The sequence below is a fragment of the Homo sapiens genome, chromosome X, assembly GCF_000001405.40.
Source record: "Homo sapiens chromosome X, GRCh38.p14 Primary Assembly".
Classification (NCBI taxonomy): Eukaryota; Metazoa; Chordata; class Mammalia; order Primates; family Hominidae; genus Homo; species Homo sapiens.
This window is the reverse complement of record NC_000023.11, coordinates 21,637,018-21,658,659: the sequence shown is the minus strand read 5'-3', so window position 1 is coordinate 21,658,659 and position 21,642 is coordinate 21,637,018. Positions and strand designations below refer to the sequence as shown.

Sequence of the window (21,642 nt, the reverse complement as noted above, 5' to 3'; positions counted from 1 at the left end):
CGGCTCCCGCAACCCCAACCGGGTTCCTGGGACCCTCTGGTGACACTGGTGGCCAGTAGGGTCACTGGAGTCAAGCCCTTGGCCCGGGCCGCTTCACCCGCGCCCGTGCCCTCGGTTCGCGGCCAGCAGTCAGGGCACGGGGCGGGGCGCGCCCGGGAGGCCGAGGCGGCGCGCTATTCCTGTCGCTGTGAGCTACCGGCATGTTATGTGCGGCGCCCAATCACGCCTCTGACCCGCCGCTCTGACCTGCGCCCTCCCCTCCCTAATCCCCTAGGCTTTGAGTTGATCCTCCGCGCGGAACAAGCTCACCCCCCCACTGCCCCGTGACCAGTTGTCCCCGGCCTTCGCGGGTGCCCGCAGAACCCGTCCTCCTCGTCCACCCCGGAGAGGTCAGAGTCCTCGCCCTGCACTCCCGGGACGCCGCATCTGCGCCGTCGGACATCCAGCACCCCCGGAGTCCACCGGCAACTCGGTTCTTCCAGGTGATGGTGTGCAGCCACCGCCGCCCCTGGCGTGCAGGTGTGGGCTCTCCACATTGGGCCGGGGAGGGGACTTCGGGCAACGCGCTGGAAGCCTCGGCAGTCGTGGAAACCAAGCCCCACACTCCCGGGAAGCCTCCAAATTCCGCGCCCTCCGTTACTAGGGGCCTCCGAAAACCGTTTCCAGACTGGATTTGCTCTGAGAGGGGCACTGGGCGATCTGCAGGTCTGGATGAAGGAGCCCTGGGCTTTAAACTGAGCAGGCAGAAATGGGCCCCTGCTAGGGGCTCTGTGGCTTACGCGGGGGTCCCGGGAGTGTTGTGCCCCGGGATGCCTCCGGCCCTGCCCAGCAGGCCTCTGGTCCCACCAGGCTGCTTCCAGCCCTGGGTAGAATGAGTTACTTCCTGTCTTACTGCAAAGCTCATGGCGGCGCGCTGCTCACCGGCTACCAGGCCCTGCGCGCCGAGGGCTTCCTGTGCGACGTGACACTGGAGACCGAGGGCAGCGAATTCCCGGCGCACAGGTCGCTCCTGGCGTGCTCCAGTGACTACTTCAGGGCCCTGTTCAAGAGCCACACCCAGGAATCCCGGGCGCGCGTGATCCACCTGCACGTGCCATCGGCAGCCGGCCTGCAGCGCCTGCTGGACTTCATCTACACTGCCTGGCTGTCGCTTTCCATGGACACTGTAGAGGACACTCTGGAGGCCGCCAGCTACCTGCAGGTCACTGAGGCCCTGGGGCTCTGTGGGCGCTACTTGGAGCGCCAGCTGGCTCCAGAGAACTGCTGCTTCGCCGCCAACGTGGCAGCGCGCTTTGGCCTGGCTCACACGCTGGACGCGGCCGAGCGCTGCATCGTGAGCCACTTGCAGGAGCTGCTGGCGCGGGGCGCGGGCCCCGCGGGACTCCTGGAGCTCAACCCTACATCGCTGAGGGCTGTACTGGGTGCCCCCGACGTGGCGCGGGTGCCCGAGGCCCGGCTACTGGGCCTGGCGTTAGCTTGGTTGCGGCAGGAGCCCACAACTGAGCGCCTGGCACACTGTACAGAGTTGCTGGAGCGTGTCCGCTTTGGCCTGGTTCCCGCCGACGTACTGCGGCGCGTGTACTCGGGCTCTGGCCTCGTGCTGCCCGCCCGGGTCAAGGGCCTCATCATCCAGGCCCTCAACTACCACACGACGCCCTCCCGCCAGCCGCTCATGCAGGGCGAGCAGACCAGCATCCGGAGCCCCCAGACCCGCATCTTGTTGGTGGGGGGGCGCAGGGCACGGGAGGTGGTGATTGAGGAGGTCGCGGCCCCGCAGAGGGCAGCTAGGGGCCAGGTCGCCGCCCCAGAGCCCGAGGAAGAAGAGGAAGAGTTGGAGGAAGAGGAGGAGGAGGAGGAGTGGGAGCTCACCCAGAACGTGGTGGCCTTCGATGTGTACAATCACCGCTGGCGCAGCCTTACGCAGCTACCCACACCACTGCTGGGGCACAGCGTGTGCACCGCGGGCAACTTCCTGTTTGTCCTGGGTGGGGAGAGCCCTTCCGGCAGTGCATCCTCTCCCCTGGCCGACGACTCGCGGGTGGTCACGGCCCAAGTGCACCGTTACGACCCGCGCTTCCACGCTTGGACGGAAGTGCCCGCCATGCGGGAAGCGCGGGCCCACTTCTGGTGCGGCGCGGTGGGCGAGAGGCTCCTGGCCGTCGGGGGCCTGGGTGCGGGCGGTGAGGTGCTGGCCTCGGTGGAGATGTACGACCTGCGTCGGGACCGCTGGACGGCGGCTGGGGCACTACCGCGGGCTCTGCACGGTCACGCGGGGGCCGTCGGGGACCGCGGTGTTGTGTACATCTCGGGGGGCAAGGCAGGGAGAGGCGAGGGCGGAGCGAGCAGCCTCCGGGACTTATACGTCCTGGGCCCTGAGGAGCAGGTTTGGAGCAAGAAGGCACCCATGGGCACCGCACGTTTCGGGCACCACATGGCAGTGCTGCGCGGCGCTGTGTTTGCTTTTCTGGGGCGATACGAGCCCTTCTCTGAGATCGAGCGCTACGACCCCGGCGCCGACCAGTGGACTCGGTTGCGGCCGCTGCCCTACGACCGCTTCTGCTATGGGCTGGCCGTGGTCGAGGAGACAGCGTTGCTGCTGGGCGGCCTCAAGTGGCGGGACTCGCGCCAGGTGCCTACCCGCAACGTAGTGGGCTACGACCTCGACCTGGACCGTTGGGAGGACATCGGCTGCGCGTTGCCCTGGGCCTGGAGCGGCCTGCGGTGCGCAGTGCTGCAGCTGGCCGAGGGTGGGGACGACGAGAGGGAGGGAGAGGTTGGAGAGGCGCTAGATTTGGTGCTGGGCTGAATGGGTCAGTCCGGTTTCCTTCCGCAATGGAGGAGAAAGTCGCGCTTGGTTAGTCTTACAGAGCAACGGATGGGCTTTTTCTAAGAAAGGGATTCTGGGAGCAGAGTGGCTTCTGAAGGTTAACAGGCAAACAAGGCCTTGAGCAAAGAGAAACATTTCTCCTTGAGCTGAGAATGGGAGACAGCGGGGCGGGGGGTCAAATAGAAGGCTATATGAATCAACTTCAGTGAGCTGGTGAAAGAAAATTTTTAGAAAGGCTCACGCAAGGCTAGAGAAGGACTTTCACAAATAAAATATGACCTTATTTTCCCTCTTACAGTTAAAGTGTTTCCCTAGGTGCAAAACAGTGATTACTTATGTGCCAAAAAAAAAAAAAAAAAAAAAAGGCCAAAAAATGTACCACAGGAAGTTTATACAAAACTCAGAAAATTGTTGGCTATAAAGGCTGTAATTAAGTCCTAGGAGATGGCATTATCTGAATAAATAGTGAAAGGAGAGTGCCTTGGTTAAATACCATGAAATCATTGTAAGGAGAACTATGATTTTATGATCCGGAGCCATGGTTACAGTTCTGCTCTGATGGTTTGATATAAATATGGAACTGAGAAGGAAAAAAAAAATCTCTAAGCACTTTTTTTTAATCTAGAAAGTATCCTTAAATTTTTCTGTCACCGGTGTCACCCTAGGCTGCTTTTGCCCTGACTTTAGACAGCTCACTGGTTTTAAGTCACATTTCATCAACCCTTAGCCATAATAATCAGGATCCTCTGGTTAAGTGGAATGTCTAACCAAAACAAAACAAAAACTGATTTCTTTCATACTCTTTTAAATGTTCATTCTGCAGACATACTGTAGATTATATTTGTAAAAAAAAATCAATTTTTGGTGGTTACCCCCACTTCCCCCAAAAGAATCACAGAGAAAGGAAAGAGGAATAGGTAAAGTTTTAAACTTCGTCTCAGGTAAATGGGAAACGAGCTTGATTTTTCAGGGTCTTAGATAAGACACTTGTATATACTGAACAGGTGCTGCTTTTGGCTTGTATCACCAATGAGGCAGCAAAGTTAGAACTCGAAACTAGGGTGGGGGGTGGTGGCTGTATAATTAGGTCACAAAGAAATGTGGTAAGGACTTTGCATGAATAAAGTAGGTGCTTTATAAGGATTCATTAAGAGCTGAATTTATTTGACTTCAGTTTACAGTGCTGCCTCTCTCCTAGATTTGAAACGAATGCAATAAAATGTACAGATATTATATAGTGTTAAAAGGTCTCTTTCATGCTAGGCTAGCCACGAGTCTTGTCAAATTCATTAGTTTAATTTTTACCATTTAAAACAACAGAGCTGACTTTACAAAAGTAAAAGCTGCTTAGTAGCAACAGAGCTAGTCTTCCCGTCAACTGCTTGCTGTTTACAGGCCACAACCTGGCCACTGTAAACATGACACATCCATCAGGTACATATATTTTTAAGTGAACATACACATTTGGTCTAGTAAACATCAATAAGTCTAAACACCTGTTAACAAGCACACTTCATTTTAGGACAAGAGGTTTTTTGTTTTTTTTTTTTTTTTTTTTTTACATATACAAAATCCCACAAATTTAATGTGCGTCAATATCCATGCAGTAAATAAATGTTTTTACAAATAGAGTTCTTTTTAAATGATAAAAATATTACACTGGACCCAAAATTCCATACAAACATTAATACATGATTTCTCATCCATTTTGACTAAATATAGGATTACTGAAAATGTGCTGTAGAAAGGCCACTCTCCTGTACAGTTGTGCAAAGTCTGCAAAACGATAGTGATTCAATGGTGGTTTCAAAAGCAAAGAAAAAGATCCCCGCTGTGGAGTTTTTACTTTCTCCTCTACAGCAAAAATATTCACTGGCATATATCTGAACTCTTAAAGATGAAAGTACATTCACTGAGCTGTACAGGCAACAGTATAAAGCTGATTAGAAGTAGATTTTAGGATATAGAATAGTAAAGGAGGTTCCCTTTCTCCTCCTGAAAAAAACAGCAAATTGTGACTTGTACATTATGCAGCCAGACACTAAAAAGCAGCACAGTCATTTTCATGCTGTGATCACTTTCAAAAACAAGACGCTTATAAATGGAAATATATGAAGAGGACTTTTCCTTAGACTTCATCCACTCTATAGAACAATTCATGAAGCCAGGAAAAAAACCTCTAAATTGTTTCTCTCATAATTCAATGTGACATCTCTTTGAATGACCATCACCTGCTTGCTCCTTAGAAGGGAAGTACATTTTTATTTTTCAGTGTTGTTTTTTATAACACACATCAGCCTGAAACTAAACATATTGTACTTCCCTACCTGAAGTATAATTACCTAAGTTTAATTAGTGGACTAGGGGAAAATTGGAAACTAAGTGGAAAGTTGATTCATTTCAGTTTATACCTTGTTGTCTTTTAAGAGTTGGAGTTTAAAAACATGAGTTTGGGCTGAAATTTATATATATATATAGCTGTTAGCTGCCTTTCTGGGTGTGTTAAGTCAGTTTTTAAAAATCCCCTCTCAAATTCTTCTGTACACAATCAGCATCTCATCACTACAAAAATAAAGGAAGATTTAAACCAAGAAAATAAAGCAGCTCTATCTTCAATTTTGGTCTTAGTTACAAAAACATCTTACAAAGCTTTGCCCTGATACACCAAGTGTTCTCATAGATTTGGAATAATATTTCCATTAACTTAGCTTTCACAAGTTAATAGACTATTAAGACGAATATTAGATACCTGAACTTTTCTTATGTCGATGCTCTTCTATTTTGCTTAGCTCTTGTATGCGCATCTACATTTCACAAAAATAAAACTACAGCATTAAACTTTGTGCAATGTTTAAGAAAATTCTTAGAACATTTTAATAAATATAAAAAAGGTTTAAATTCTTTCCCACCCACAAGGATGTCTGCACCTGAAAAAATGTGATTTACTTTTGAAGTCTTGTTTATATAAAATTAACTTAAAGGGAGAAAAGATGACCATAGATAGAAAACTGCCTTTTGTGGTTTTACTACTTGAAGACCACCTGTATTTAGAATTGTTTGCAAAAGTTAATTTTAAGTCATTAAAGACAGTTGATTTTGCACATGGTAAACATAAGCTGAGCACTGTTGCATATAAAATATACAAATGCTCATTAAAGATAGTGGTATTGTGACCATATATGGTTTGTTTCATATAGTTTGGTAACATTAAAGTATAGCTTGTCAAGTGTTCCACACATTGATATAAAAACTACCTTATATACTTGTTCAGAGTACCAGCAGGTACTAGATGGTCTGAAGGCAGAATACATTTAGACATGCGTTTCAATGTATGAATGAGTGTGTGCTAGAGAGGAAGTGATTACATCTACTTCAGAAGAAATACTCAGTGGGTCATTTGAGGTGGTATTTTGACAGATATCCAAGAAAAGGTCGAGGTACATCTGCTTCCATTGTTGGAATTCTTTAGATGTCAAGTCTGGATTGTCTAGGACTTTATCGATAATGGCTACTTCCCCTTCTCTGGCCTGAAAAGAAAAAGGATTCAACAATTAAGACAGGGACAAAGTTTTATTCAAGTTTAAAATAAAAAGTTAATAGGCAAAACATTTAAGAAGCCCATAGGAGATGGCTTTGGATACTCACACCCACCCAGCTCTTTAGACTCACGTCCTAGTGTACTTTTTTCTACACCCGAGGAACGCCTCCTTTTGCCCACTGTGTGGTTTGCTTTTTCTCTTTGCCTGTCCTTTTGCCCATCTCTGCTATGGAAACCTTTTTCGTTCTTTAAGATCCAGTTCAAAAGCCTCTCATTTCTTCAAGCTGTGCTTAAACACTCAGAAAAGTTTTCTCCCTCATTTATGCCCCTTTACTACTCCATCAGTGCCACTGAGTACATTTGTCATATTCTATTTCTTGAGTTACTTTTGCATGTGTTCTATTTCTCCTGCTTTATGGTAAGCTTCTCATACTTGAATGAGACTGAGCATGGCCCCCCTGTTACCACAAATACATAATTCTTGCTGTGTGAATGTTATGGCTCCCTTTCTGTAGCACTGGGGGCCTGTAATGGAGAATGGCTCTCCCTTCCATGTTGGAAGCTGGGTCTCAGCTGAAGACTGAGCTTCATTTTGGTATAACTCACCAAGTTAAAACTATCACCTGGGGAAGATGAGAATTTCCCAGGTGGAAGGTGGGATGGAGAAGTAGGGGTTAAGAAAGTCTGAGCAGCTCAGTCCTGACCCAAGTAAAGCTTAGGGAAGTGTAGAAAATGTTCTGCAGGAAGTAAGGCATACACCTCTGGGCCAGCCAGAGTTGGGAGGCAAAGAAAACAGTAAGGTGGTTAAGAAGTTGGTCTGGCCTCACAGACCAGAATATGGAAGAGGGCTGGGACTGAGGATGTTGTGAGTTGCCTGTGGTGGGATCTGAGATCTGTGCTTGGTGAGGGGGACTGTTAAAATTCCAGGAAATAGACACATCCAGGGTTGCTTGGCCAGCTATGCTTCCCTAATGAAGGAATTCATTCCCTATTAATTTTCCATGCCAAAAACCATAGGGTTCTGTAGTTCATTTGTACCAATGAGGGACATTTTTTACAGTGACTTTTCGTTATCTTTCTTGGTCCCAGAGAATCGAGTGGAGCATTCATGTACCTGGTGATTCATCAATACTTAGTGAACTGAACATTGGCAGTAGCCATATATTTTGTCACTGGAAGAAAATACCCTGGGGGACTCTACAGAGCATAAAAGACAGGGAAAAGGGGCTGTGAGATAGAAGGAGAGAAACAGGTCTTTAAGATCCATGAATCTAACCTGCTTCAAAATGCCTGCCTGCCTTCTAAACCAGGCAGTTTAGAACTGAATGGGGGAAGTGGAGAGGCTCTATAAGGTGGGAGGGTGATGATATCTTTGGAGTAGGATTAGTCACTGCAACTATTCTTACGACTATTAACAGCACTCTCTAAAAATTCTGCTCTTCCCAAAAGTCCATTAAATTGTCCCCTGGATTTGCAGTAGTATTTGCATGACTACCAATTAAAAGCTAATGGAGTCTGAAAACTTTGCTGCTTGCTATCTGAAATTTTTTCAGGTCATTTTCTAGTTTGTCTGTCTCTTTGGTACTCACCTATATTTCAAAATTACAAAACCTCAGCAGCATGCTATGGATCTGAAATATTTCCCAAAGGAGCCCTCTGACCTTCTGTTTCCTGAAATTACTACAGCACATACTCTGTATGATAGTTCTTTTTTTTTTTAATTATACTTTAAGTCTGGGATACATGTGTAGAATGTGCACGTTTGTTACATATGTATACACGTGCCATGGTGGTTTGCTGCACCCATCAACCCATCATCTACATTAGGTAGTTCTCCTAATGCTATCCCTCCCCTAGCCCCCCACCCCCCGACAGGCCCCAGTGTGTTATGTTCCCCCTCCCTGTGTCCATGTGTTCTCACTGTTCAACTCCCACTTATGAGTGAGAACATGTGGTGTTTGGTTTTCTGTTCTTGTGTTAGTTTGCTGAGGATGATGGTTTCCAGCTTCATCTATGCCCCTGCAAAGGACATGAACTCATCCTTTTTTATGGCTGCATAGTATTCCATGGTGTATATGTGCCACATTTTCTTTATCCAGTCTATCATTGATGGGCATTTGGGTTGGTTCCAAGTCTTTGCTATTGTGAACAGTGCCACAATAAACATACATGTACATGTGTCTTTATAGTAGAATGATTTATAATCCTTTGGGTATATACCCAGTAATGGGATGGCTGGGTCAAATGGTATTTCTGGTTCTAGATCCTTGAGGAATCGCCACACTGTATTCCACAATGGTTGAACTAATTTACACTCCCACCAGCAGTGTAAAAGAGTTCCTATTTCTCCACATCCTCTCCAGTATCTGTTGTTTCCTGACTTTTTAATGATCGCCATTCTAACTGGCGTGAGATGGTATCTCATTGTGGTTTTGATTTGCATTTCTCTAATGACCAGTGATGATGAGCTTTTTTTCATGTTTGTTGGCTGCATAAATGTCTTCTGTTTTTGTTTTATAAGGGCACAGGGCCTGCTCAGGTGGCTTGTGCGGTGGGCCCTCTCCTTCAATCTCCCACACTCCCCCACACACAGTGAGCAGGGCTCACTTGTCTGCCTCCTTTTCCAACTTTCTGCCTCTCTGCTCTCCTGTCCTCACCACCTCCTCCCCAACCTGGGGGCATATAATAAGGAGACTGGAGGCAATGTAAACACTTACAGAAATGTATAATAGGAGGGTAATATGTAAGTTGGGAACTGATAACGTAAACAGAACAATTATAAAATTTCTACATGGAACACAAATCACCGTGGCTTCATCCCAAATGCACTGCAGTTCATGCGGGAAACAATCACGAAATATCTCAAACTCTTTTAGCACCCACTATTGTATTCTGCATGCATGCTGTGTTCTTTTAGTAATGCTAATAATTACACTACATGGTATTTTTATCTTAGAAAATCTATAGACTGAGGAATAACACCAGCCCTGCATTTTTAGAAAACAATTTAAATCACATCCTGTTTTCTCCTAGAACTGAGTAAAATAACATTTAATCAGTGCTTTGAGACATTAATGAAAAGTTAAGATGATCTCCTCTTTACCAATATAGTTATTATGACATAGAAATAGCTCAGCTTCAAGTTCTTACTGCTTGCCTCTTCTTCTCCCCAGCCCCCAATTTGTATTTCTTAACCTACAGTATCTGGTAATCCACTTTAAGAATGAATCTCTTCAAAGAAATTTGTCCTTCCATTTCTTGTCTTACCTTTAAAGTGCTTTTGAGAATTCTCAGCCGGTGTAGTTTTTCATTCATTACAGGATCATTACATCTTTTTATAAATGATAGCTTGTATTCCATCTTGGTTGAAATACGATGTTCTCCTAGTGGTGACAGACTGGCCTGCTCCAGTGCCCTGTATAAATCTTGCAATGAGTCTCCTAACTTTTCTTCTCTGCTTTCACCTGCAACATCCAAAAAAAAAAAAAAAAAAAAAAAAAGAAAGAGAGAGAGAGAGAGAGAGAAAGAGAAATGAATTCATTGCAATATAGTTATTTGACACATGGAAAATTTATTAAAATATCAAAACTATCTGAAAAACAGGATAATGAATGACCATGAGAACACTATTATATTAAAAAACAACAACAAAAACCCACAGCTGCTAGTTATATTGGGTAACATTAGCTACAGGCAGCTAATTGTTTTAGAATGATCAAATAATAGGATTATTTGATTAACCAAATATACTCTTGATAGCAAATTGCCATATATATCTTGAGTCCAGCAAGTTCAAAGAATTAGAATACAAAAGGCACACAACATGGAAACAATCCTGCACATTATATTTTAAAACATTAATAAACATCCCTTATCATTATGCTGATAAGCATAGAAATGCTGATTAATAGAGCTCGCCTGGTTTAGCAATACTGAATGAACTGATTTTTACATTTTTCCAGATTTCATAAGATTGAATGGCATTCAATGGAGTATATTTGATTGTAAAAATCTTCCAATTGTGCCATAGAGGATTACTAGGTTTCATGTGACTGCCATAGTAATGCCTTGTACATTGTAAATATAGTAACTGATCATAAATTATCAATATTTTAATTAAAATGAAACATGGGAATATGTTTATATGCAAATATAGAGGGAAAATATGGCACGTGCTAAGAGAAGCTACTTAGTATTTGTAAGACCTGAGGAGAAAATACTCCAGTTAAATATTTTTGAGAAAAAAATGAGAGACTGGCTCAATAAGGGTCTTAGACATAGCTGAACAAATAAAACTCCCATCTTGTTTTTTATAATTGCCTGAACACTAATGTCGTATCTTTCTCAACAATGATAAACAAAGATGAACTAGGATTTTGCTTGGAGTGGTAGATTGGAGTAGGGCTATATCATCTTTTTTTAAATAGATAGCCAGAATCATATTTAAATAATTATATTGGCCCAAAGAGTAAATATGGAATGTTGTTCATTCCACAATGGTCCATGTGAATATTTTAGGCTTTCTGACAGTTTCAAAAAAAGATTCCTTAATTGGTAATGATACCATTTAACATTTAGATGTGCCAGGCAGCAGGGTAAATGCTTAATCTTTATGATCTCATTTAATCCTCACAACAATACTAAGAGCAGATCTATTTTATCTTCATTTATAGCAGGGCAGTATCTTGCTCAAAGTCACACTTAGTAAGTGGCGGAGCTAGAATTCCATGTGGGCAGTCTGACCCCAGAATCCACGATTTTAACAAGAATTCTATACTGCCAATTTTTTTCAGTTGTCTTTTGAAATGTGTATTTAGCAGTAGATGCCAATGAATGTGAGACGCCCTTAAAATGCAGCATTCAAAAAATTTTTCAAAATGACTGTATCTAAAACTATCAAAAAACCCAAAATGTACAGTACCTTAACCTAAAAAGGTCATTTTTAGGATTAAAAAGCAGCTTTATTTAAATTCCACATTCAACTTTTGGCTCTGCTACTGAAGTTAACAACCAATGGTAGGTATAGTCATTGAGTCCTTCTATTAGAAAATTCCTTGTTATCATCAGCACATGCTATCACTAAGTCCTCTGTGATAAATTTTAACTTCTTAACCATATATCTAAGTTAGAACTATAATCTAAAAATACAAAAATCACTTTAAATAACAGCTTTTAAATTCTCTGTTGGCCCATCGCTGAATATATTCAACACCTAGAGGATTTTGAGGGATGGGGGATGGAAGACTGTAAAAAGGAGAAACTGCTTTGTGGGTTATGAACAAAATGGAAGCAAGATAGGGAATCTTAACTGAGAATGATTTGGCTTGAGGAAGGCACAAAATCATATGATCATTTAGAATAACTAAATGGAGTTGTAAAAACAAGGACACATTTAAACAGCATAAGTCTATTTCAGAAAATCATAGGCCAGGAAAGAACCCTGAGGAATTATATAGTAGTTATCGTATTCTTTTTTTCCTCAAGGCAATACTGCATCTAAAGCCAGATGTAATTTCATAGAGTAGAGGGTGGGGTAGAAAATGCGAGGCCTAACAGATGTGAATTATAGTAGTTAAGGTATCAGGTGGCCTAATGTATTATTAGTTTTTTGGTTCTAGAAAGAAGGTGAAGGAAAAAGGGATTCAGATTTTAGTTTTAGGATTTAAGGGAGGCAGAGTATTTTTACATAGTAATTTTTATTTTAAAAGAACCTTCCTCCATATTACCTAACATTGTAGAAGGGTACATATATTTTGTTTAAAAAAACATTTTGACCCAGTTTTCCCTCAGTTCTTAAAGCTTGTGAAATACTGGGGCAGATAACTGATTTTATAAAATTTCAATGTAGTTTTACTTTAAGAAGGATGAATGAAGATTCAATATATAAAATGACATACATAGGTATTAAACAATAAAAACTGAAAGTTTCTCCCCCTTCTTGCTCTTACGGGGGAGAAAAGCATTCAATCAAAAGACAACATAATTCTACAAAGAATCTGGTTTGACAGCTGTAAAAAGAATTGAGTATGGATTTATCTCTGGGCAGCACACTTGAACAAGCAATCACAATGAGACGGAACACAGAAACATTTCCAAGTATAGTAATGGGATAGTGTGGCTCCTATCAGAGATAATAAGCCACCCCCTGCCCCCATCCCCTACACATCATACACATACACTACACAAGACACAGTAGTGGGATGAGTAAGGACGAGGGACTGAGATGCCAGGCTACCACAAAATGCCACCAATTACTTAACATTTTAAGACTAGACAAAGAGTCTTTTCATTTTCAAAAGGGCGGTTGGTGAGGGGCAGAGTCACATTATAAATCTGATTCACTGTGCTCAACAGTCAAAACAACACAGAACTCAACATTCAAGACAAAAACAGACCTTTATTTTCTTTTATAATTTTCAATTGGTTTCCTTGATTTTTCTCAGATGAATACCAATTAAGTCAATTGGGGCTACTGTTGCAACTGAAAATATGAAAGCACCTTTATTTTCTTCTCTTTTTGCCCTCTTCTTCATCTCCTTCTCACTTCTCTTCAGGCTTCTCTCTTTTTTCAACCCTTGCTTTTTCTTCCTTTAGAAGAGGCTTGCTTTGGAAGAGGAGGCAAGCACTTGGTGAGGTCTGCTTCCTGATTGACTTTCTTTCAATGTGCCAGTTCAGCCACTGGAACACTGGCTGAAAACCAGCTCTTTTGCAATTTGAATGAATGTTTTCTGAAAGTTGGCAAAGTGTAGAGACCACATTCAAATCACAGGACATATATAGGAACCTTCTGTGATTCCTAATGAGGAACTGTATCACTGCTATAATGAAATTTTAATCTGTATCTAATTTATTCAGGAAACCTGGGCCTATGCAGAAATAAATTTCCCCCCAAATTATATTTACGTTTACAACATGTAAATTAGTCCTGTGTCAGATTACATACTTTTGAATTCCAATTTTATTGAAGCAAAGAGTGCATATAAAATTTTCTTTCCTACATAAAATTTCATTGATTGATGGATTTGAGGATCATAATTAAGTTATTGATGAATTAACTTGTATTCTGTGCCGAGGGAGGGTCATTTATGGCTGTGTCATACTTGACGGGGTGAAAGAAGATCCTCTTTATTGTCCCTTTCATATTCTGCTCCACTATGAAATATTGTGAATCTAGGAATGTAGTGAGCATCATTATTTGTCTTTTTCAGGTTGCCTATGACCTCTAGGTAGTAAGTGATAACTGAAAGCCCAAAGAAAAGAATAGCTAATGAAAAATACCAGTTTGTTGGAATCTCTTGCACATTGCTTATTAGAAGATCATAATGCATTTCTCAAATACCAAAAAGTCTTTGGTTGACGTATTTCTTACATTCAGGCTCAGTGGTTTCCAAACTTTTTCTGATTGCACACTCTTATTAGTTAAAACACTTCCGTTTTATCGAACAGAAACTTATATACATGTATTACTCTATAGTAATAGATAGAAGTTATAAAACATACACAGAAAGAAATTCAAAAGGATGAGAGATAAAACCCAAGGAAAAATTCCAATGCTTTTTCTTCCTGTACCTTAATGGACCCTTGTGTGCCCTACTTCAGAGACTTAGACTGTGACTTTTCCACGAGTAGAATTTGTCCCACTCATATTTGCATTTCCCCTTCTTCTACCTGGCACAGTGCCTCATGCAACCCAACACATTCAAACAGAGTGATGGTTTTCTTTATATATGAACTACTCCAAAAAGGGTTCCCTAACAGGTGACTGTGTAATTATTAGGACAATCTATTGTATCATATTGTTCATGAAACTTGGCAACCTAAAATTTTACTCTAGTATCCACCCCATTTTCACATCCCTGCAATGACAATGTTGAAGGAGCATAAAAAATGAAAACAAAACAAATAAGTAAACCAATTGGGCTCTTGAAGAATGAAGCCAATGATGGATAACGAGTTCTGGTACATATTTCGGAAGGGATCTGTGATCTTGTAAAATTGGACAATGATATCCTTGTGGAAACAGTTGTTCCTTCTGCAATACAGCTGTGTAATGAGCCCAGAAGGTTGGGAAAGACTAAATCACAAATGGTAGAGAAGACTGGACATAGTCAGATTTGAGAGACATTCATTCTTGTACAGCTGCAGAGTGCTTTAAGGCTTCCGGGCTAATGATATCAAGTATGTGAAACACTATTCTTGTCACAAAAGGCAACTAACATTTGCATTGAGAACACCCGAATATTTTCCATGAATATGAATTTACTAGCAAGCCATAATGAATAATTTATTTATATGTAAGGTGACAAACTTTTAATGGACTTAATGTCTTTGGAGGTTTTATGATAAGGATGATTAAGTATTCAGGGGTTTATACTATAATTTGAATGTTTGTAATTAAATACTAGCTCTCTTAATTCATGCTTTTATGTAAGTCAATCAGCTATGCCTAGCATTATAAAACTGGGTTTGGGGAAGGCAGTTTGTTATATCAAAAAAAAAGCATAAGATTTTAAAAGCTGGCTTTTAGTCCTCCATCTGTAATCAACTACTAGTTTCATATTTAGGGGTAAGTTATTTATTTTCTTTTAGGCAAAGTAACAATACACAAACATTACTATTGGGAAATAATTTCTCTGAGTAAAGAAGTCTATTTTAGTGAGAAAAAACCCCTTCTCTTAAAAGAACAGTTTGAGTGACTCCACCAACATTTGCTAACTGTATTTTTAAAGAACATGTAAAGCCCATCCTTGTAATAATGATAATGTGCTTCACTGAAATCAAGTACTTGTGTCTGTCAATTCCTTCCTTACAACACTAAATATTGCTCCATAAAGATGTGACAAAAGAGATAGAGCTAAAGTTTATTCTATACTTCTTTCTCTGAACATGTAATTTCTGTTAAATTATGCAGTTTAATGATAAAAATACATGACAGTGGTTGAATTTTCAGGGCACTACAGTATTTACGACAAGTAGTTCAGATGGCAAAACCTTGGTGTCCTTAGCATTGATTTATTGCCCCAAAGAAGGGAAGGTTCTTTGAAGGACAATCAAAAATATAAATGACAGTTTAGGTTTACCCACAGAATTTAGAAAATTTAACCACTAGGAATATGGAAGTCAAAGTGCTGGCTCTCAGGCAGGAATTCATAAAGGAGACAGTTTAAAACCAAAGCTAAGAGATGATTATTTTTGAAAATTAATGTGGAGTCACTATATTCCTTAATGAAAAAAAAAACACCAAATTCTCTAGATCACAAAATTTTACTATGGCTTAAACAGGGAGAATGACCCAAGACAATCCCATAAATATTAAATACCAATAAAGCCAATAAAATGCTTTTTGATGGATTTCTATATACCAGAACCATCATTATATATATATGTTTTAAAAAACACATTAAAATGGTTAGAGCACAGAGGCAATTGTAAGGCAGATCAATGTGATTTTATTCACAGACACAAATTCCATTTGTGAGAAAGAAGCACTGATTACTTCTTTTTAGAAAGATATTTACTATCAGGCATACTTAGCAAATTATTTAGCTATCTGAAAAGATCTGATACCAATTGGTCATATTTTTATTTTTAAGTAATTTATATTTTTACAGGTATTCACATTATGCAATACCACACACTGCGGTGACAGGAAGAAAAAAACATTTCAAAATACAGTGTTAAATTATCTGTTCATTGCACAGTATGAAATATCATTAATTAGCATTAAAATTATTACAGTGTATCTTATCCAACTAAAGGAAATTTCACATCCACTACAGAAGAAAAATAAGCAATATTGATTGAGCCATAGGGGACCCAGTTACATAGTATTAAATAATATCTGAAGCTAGTTTGAAAGACATCCAGACAAAATACTTTTCAAAAATGAAACCCACAGCCTATAGATTCAAAATATTTTACAGAAAAGAATAGCTCATGCCTGCCCTAAGAGGCAACACCACTTGTATACAAGTGCCAAGAAATAAGGAGAAAGTTAGGATTTTAGCTGAAGATTCTATAATAAAGCCTGGCATGAGAAATTTTCTTCATTAATGTCACCGAAAGCAGTCTCTGTGTTGCACCTGAATACACTTTATAATAGAATAAACATAGTAAGTTTCAAAGCAAATTGTGTATACCTTGCCTTAATAGATTACACTTAATTTAGTACAATACAGCACGTCAAGTTTTAAAAATGCAAAATACACTTAATACATAATTTGCTTTCTCTGCTTTGCCTTAAAGAGGCCACCAAAGAGTCCATTAAACAGCCAGAATTTTCTAGTTATTGAAGCTGATCCCTCTCTTTTCCTGGTGTCAGGAGAACACAACTGAGGTGTTACCACACAGAGCCCTTTCCCAGTTAAGACCCTTTCCCCTTCTGTTCTCCCACAGAAACCGCAGTTTTCTGTTACTGTGCTCCATCTTGATTGGCTTTGATCTTATGCTAGTCCCAATGTAGAAAGCTCGCATTCTTCTTAAGAGTGGCCTGCCCCTCTTATATCCCTTTGGGAGGCCCCCAATCCAAAACACTTGATGATCTAAGCTTTTTACAAGTCTGTTTTCTGTTATAAACAGCAAGGACGAGGCCATTTTAGTTGCTTGCAAGAGGTTGATGTTGAGTCTGCGCCGTACCGACTCTCTCCGATCTAAATTCTCTAAACATTAGCTTATCAATCTGTGAGTCCAATGGGTTGAGTGCCAACAGAAGTGGATCCGATTTGGCATGGAGAGGTTCTACCAACTCTCGCAGTGTATTAGCCTAATATGATAAAGCAGTGATACAATATGATGAAAGACCTGCGAGTGCCATTATTTCCAAAGCATATTAGTATTTGTATTAGAAATACCATCATGCAATACCCATGAAGAGAAAGTAGAAAAATATGGCTAGAATTGCATATGGTTTTAATACAATGTCTTTCTGTTGGCATGCAAGTCTACTTGGCCATAAATGGGACACCTTTTGCTTTAAACTTTGGTTGTTTGGAAATGTTAATCTCCCAAATATACACAATAACACACAGTGCAGAAAAATATTTTCCCACCACTATACTTGTATATGTACATCTATAATTTTAATCAGAATAGTTTATGTTAAAATATTCTCCATATACATGTAAAATTACCATTTCTTTTGAGAAAATTAAAATTATTTCTATACGAGATCTTTCCTCAAATTCATCTAATCAAGAAGCATGAAGAAAACCTCTCTAGTCTTCTGACCAGAAGGGTATTTGATTGACCTGATATATATGCTACCATGTCCTAATCAGTGAGACAGTGGAACAGCCTAGCTAGTATTGCTCCAATGAGGAGGCCGCATGCTTAACAACACAAAATGCCAAGAAACGAAAAGCTAAGACAGAGTGAATGTGATGAAAGGGTGACTTTACACCTGAGCATAAGCCACATGCCAAGGAGTTAAGAAACTGGAAGAGATGGATGTTTCTGAATGACCTGAGAAACTAATAACAATTTGGATAAAACAAACTGTACCCTCTTTTAGGTCATTTTATTTTGGATCTTGAGGAATCTAATAAATATTGTCAGCAGGAACAAATCAGCAATATTTTAAATCTCTAGCCTAGTGCAGATTTTTATCTGCAACATCTTGTAGTATCTTTTGAGTCATATTGAGAAAAGAAGGAACAAGTTGGGAGAGAGAATAGAGAAAGCATGTTGTTCATTATGTCCTCCCTTAGAAAATGGGGAGGGACACATCTTGCCTATAACACTGATATCTAGCAAACAAGATATAGCATAGTTCAGAAATCAGCGGAACTAATTTTTGTCTGTAATATTATACTCTTTTTGCAGAAATGGGGGTGGAAACTGAATAATCTTCATATACAGGTCAAACGAAACAAAACACAATACCTCAGTTTTTAGAATATTATAATACTGGAATGCTAGCTTTAGCTTCTACCACTTTGTTTCACAAGGTCATGGAATTTCACACAGCAAAATCAGAGGGAATCCAACCTTGGGCACAAGGTCATTTCTAAGTTTAAACTGTTCTTAATTTATCTAAGCAATTCAAACATTTTGTAGTTATCCTAAACACATCCTTTGTTTCCCCACAGAGATAAGGTTACATGAACCTTTTAATTTCTAATACACATTCCTTAATGCCCACTTAACCCACACTAAACTGAACTAGAGCCCTGGTAATCGAGTCACAATTGCCGAATTCTATTGCAAGAGACTGGAAACATCTCCTCAGTTTAGCTCCTAAGGGATGGTGGAGGGAGAAGTACTATTTCAAAATGGCTACAACTAGCTACCAGTTAGTTAGCATAAGAGAAGATAACTCCCTAGGGCACGGTATCTCTTCAACTACTAGTGCTCACAGTACTAGTGACTACTGAATCTCAGGATGGGGGTGGAGGTGCTTGTTAAACACAGATTTCTGGGCCCTACACCTCATCTATTGAATCAGAATTTCTGGGTATGGAACTCAGGAATCTGCATTTTAAACAAGCAATCCAGGTGATTCTTGTGCCCACTGCAGTTTGAGACCTCTTGCTTTAGGTCAATCACACTGGCTAGGGCTGGTTGGAGTAACAGCAATTTTTGCACTGCATATACAAGTAGTTTCTAAGTCAGAAGCCCTGAGTTTGGGGACTTCACATAGCATTTTATTTTTAATCCCATCACCAGTCTGACATTGTATCACACAGCTTAAACAATTTCAGGATTTTTGCTGAGGAATCTGATGGAAATATCTTGGTCTACTGAGATTATGGCAAAATGAAAGAGGCCTTGGTAAATTTTAAATAAATTTTTTAGAACTATACTTTTTATGTAGTGTTAAATAGTGCCTATTTATATTTGAGGCAAACAAGAAACTACAACGGCACTCCTACACTCAACTCCACTATATGTCTTGGCATGTGCATTACGAATCTTAAGTATACGTGTACTGGCGAGCCAGGTGGGTCAGAAGCAAGTGCACAAAGGGCTGCCCGTATAATCTAGATGAAATCTCTAAAACACAAAAACCTACTTCAAGATACTGTCCTTCTATCTTGGACTTCTGTGAATCTCATGTTTATGTGTCTTTAACTTTTTACAAGTCCCATTCTGATTCTCAACACTCTTTCCTTTTCTCTCCCTTTAGGTTTTCACTGGGCTTTCTCTTTCTTTGTGTTCAATTCTCAATTACTACCCTTCTCCTTTGTAGTGGACAACTTCATTTATCCTGATACAAAGTCAAAATAGTCAAACCAGTTAAAATTATTATACAGACTAATTTTATTCCTCTTTTCTAAAAGAACAAATGGAAATTGCATGTTCTTTAGAAAAAGGCATGCTGGGCACAGTGGCTCATGCCTGTAATCCCAGCACTTTGGGAGGCCGAGACAGGAGGATCACTTGAGGCCAGCAGTTTGAGACGAGCCTGGGCAACATAGTGAGACCCCATCTCTATGGAAAAAACAATAGAAGGCAGAAAAAACATAAATTATATAACTCTTGATTATTTTGTTTTCTTTTGGCTGTTACTCTAACTATAAAAATATTCCCTACTGCTGCTGTTAAAATAAATTTCACTATTTACCAAGCTTTTAGCCAATTACATTTTGAAATGAGAGCAACATATCTATGATACCACAAAGAAAATCAGTAATGCTTCTGTTTGGCGTATTATTTAATAAATATTTATTAAGCTACTACTCATCACTGAAACTTCTAATTGTGAGGCCACCAGCTTAGGTTAAGAAGAAACAGATCTTGTTTCCCTGTTACTATACTCCTGGAGATCTGAATGATGAACCCAGATGGAATGCCATGTTGAATCATGTGTAGAATGACTTATTCCAGTGAGATTCCATATCCATGCAAGTTCCTTGAGACACAGATTGAATTTGCATAGGAAATCTTGAGGAGGATGTTTCTTTCTCTTTTTGCTTTATGAATTTAAACATTGCCCCAAATAAAACTTGACCGCCCAAATAATAAGAAGAAATAGAAATTCTGGAAACATAAGTTTTAGAAATATAATCAGGCTTCCATTAGTGACCTGCTAAAAATAGCTGATGATACTTCAATCAAATGCCTGAGGAGGATTAGATTATAGAGGGGATAAGGGTAGAGGTACGAACATCTTCAAGAAAATGATTAAGGCTAAATATAAAACAGTTGAAAATAAATATTTTCTTTAATGAATGAAAGAGAAGAAAATATTTTAAAATGGAAGTAAGTATTTAAGCCAGTTGAGCACTTACAAAGATTCCTAATTCTGTTTGAGTTCTAAGACAGAACTCAATTCTATTTCACTCAGTTCCATAATCAGCATGCTTGAGGGCAAATTTAAGGGCAAAGCCAAGGACTACTTGTCTTAAGCTATTTGTGGATAACAAAGGTCATCAATAGCAGATATTCAAGTCTATCAAGAGTAACACAATTCTACTCCTGGGAGAGTAGAATTGTTTTGTGTTTATTTTGAAAAACCTTATTTACTTAACATAGTTATTTGGAGCCTCCCCTTCTTCTAAATGTATGTGCTTAGATTTAAGTTTTTCTTTTTCAAAAACAAGGATATCCAACACCATGAAATGATAGTGATAATTACTTTTCTCTATGTAAGTATTGGAGACAGTGGGCTCATACCTTGGTTCAGAATGTTCAGACCAAAACAGAGACTTGTTAATTGTGGTTTGAGTATTATCTGTCCAAATTTTGAGGGCCTATTTTCTCATAAAAGGTTGACTTCAAAAAGACTGGATATTAAAGATTTTTTTTATTTTTTAATACCATAGGGAGAAGGAGTTGGAAAATATTTTTATGAATGTGAAGCAAAATTTTCATGATAAAATATTATTTTTCTAAATAAAGTGGTAACTAGTGATAGATAATATAGTTTGTGTTTATACTTACAGCACTTATGGAGTTCTTTAATTCACAATTCCGGGTAAAATAAAATATTTGATGAACCTAAGCCATAGGCAAAACAGGTAAGAAAATACTGTTTCCAGATAATTTGAGTGTTCCTCTAAATTCCCAAATCACAATTCCATCCTGTGTGTATAAATCACAAGACATGGAGTATTTCCTTATGAAAGTAGTATTTCATCTTAATCCACCTACTGTTATATTATGACCTTAGAGTGCCATTTATGACTTAATTACTTATCCAGGAGTCTATCACACATGCTGACTTTCTAAAATCTGCATTAAAAACAACTTTCTGAAATTAAGGCAGATCTGAAGTACCCTTTGAGTGAAGTTTTTACGAAACAACTGAAGACATCTTTCACATTTAATAGTTACAGAA

The 21,642-nt window shown here is 40.0% G+C and overlaps 2 protein-coding genes across 9 annotated transcripts in view; one reads left to right on the top strand and one right to left on the bottom strand.

Moving 5' to 3' along the window:
- The first annotated feature begins 329 nt into the window (after positions 1-329).
- KLHL34 (kelch like family member 34) lies at positions 330-3,970 on the top strand. The gene has a single exon (NM_153270.3). The coding sequence runs from the start codon at positions 872-874 to the stop codon at positions 2,804-2,806; it is 1,935 nt and encodes a 644-aa protein (NP_695002.1). The 5' UTR covers positions 330-871; the 3' UTR covers positions 2,807-3,970.
- Positions 3,971-21,642, bottom strand: part of CNKSR2 (connector enhancer of kinase suppressor of Ras 2) — a 280,272-nt gene continuing 262,600 nt past the window's right edge. For 4 of the 8 annotated variants that reach the window (NM_014927.5, NM_001168647.3, NM_001330770.2 and 1 more), the window contains 2 exons: positions 9,633-9,829; positions 3,971-6,354 (listed from right to left, as the gene is read on the bottom strand). In NM_014927.5, the coding sequence (NP_055742.2) occupies positions 6,139-6,354; positions 9,633-9,829 (413 nt within the window). In that variant the 3' untranslated portion in view covers positions 3,971-6,138. Of the gene's footprint in view, positions 6,355-9,632; positions 9,830-13,219; positions 17,128-21,642 lie in introns of those variants that run through there. The other 4 variants (NM_001168648.3, NM_001330773.2, NM_001168649.3 and 1 more) reach the window with 1 other exon arrangement.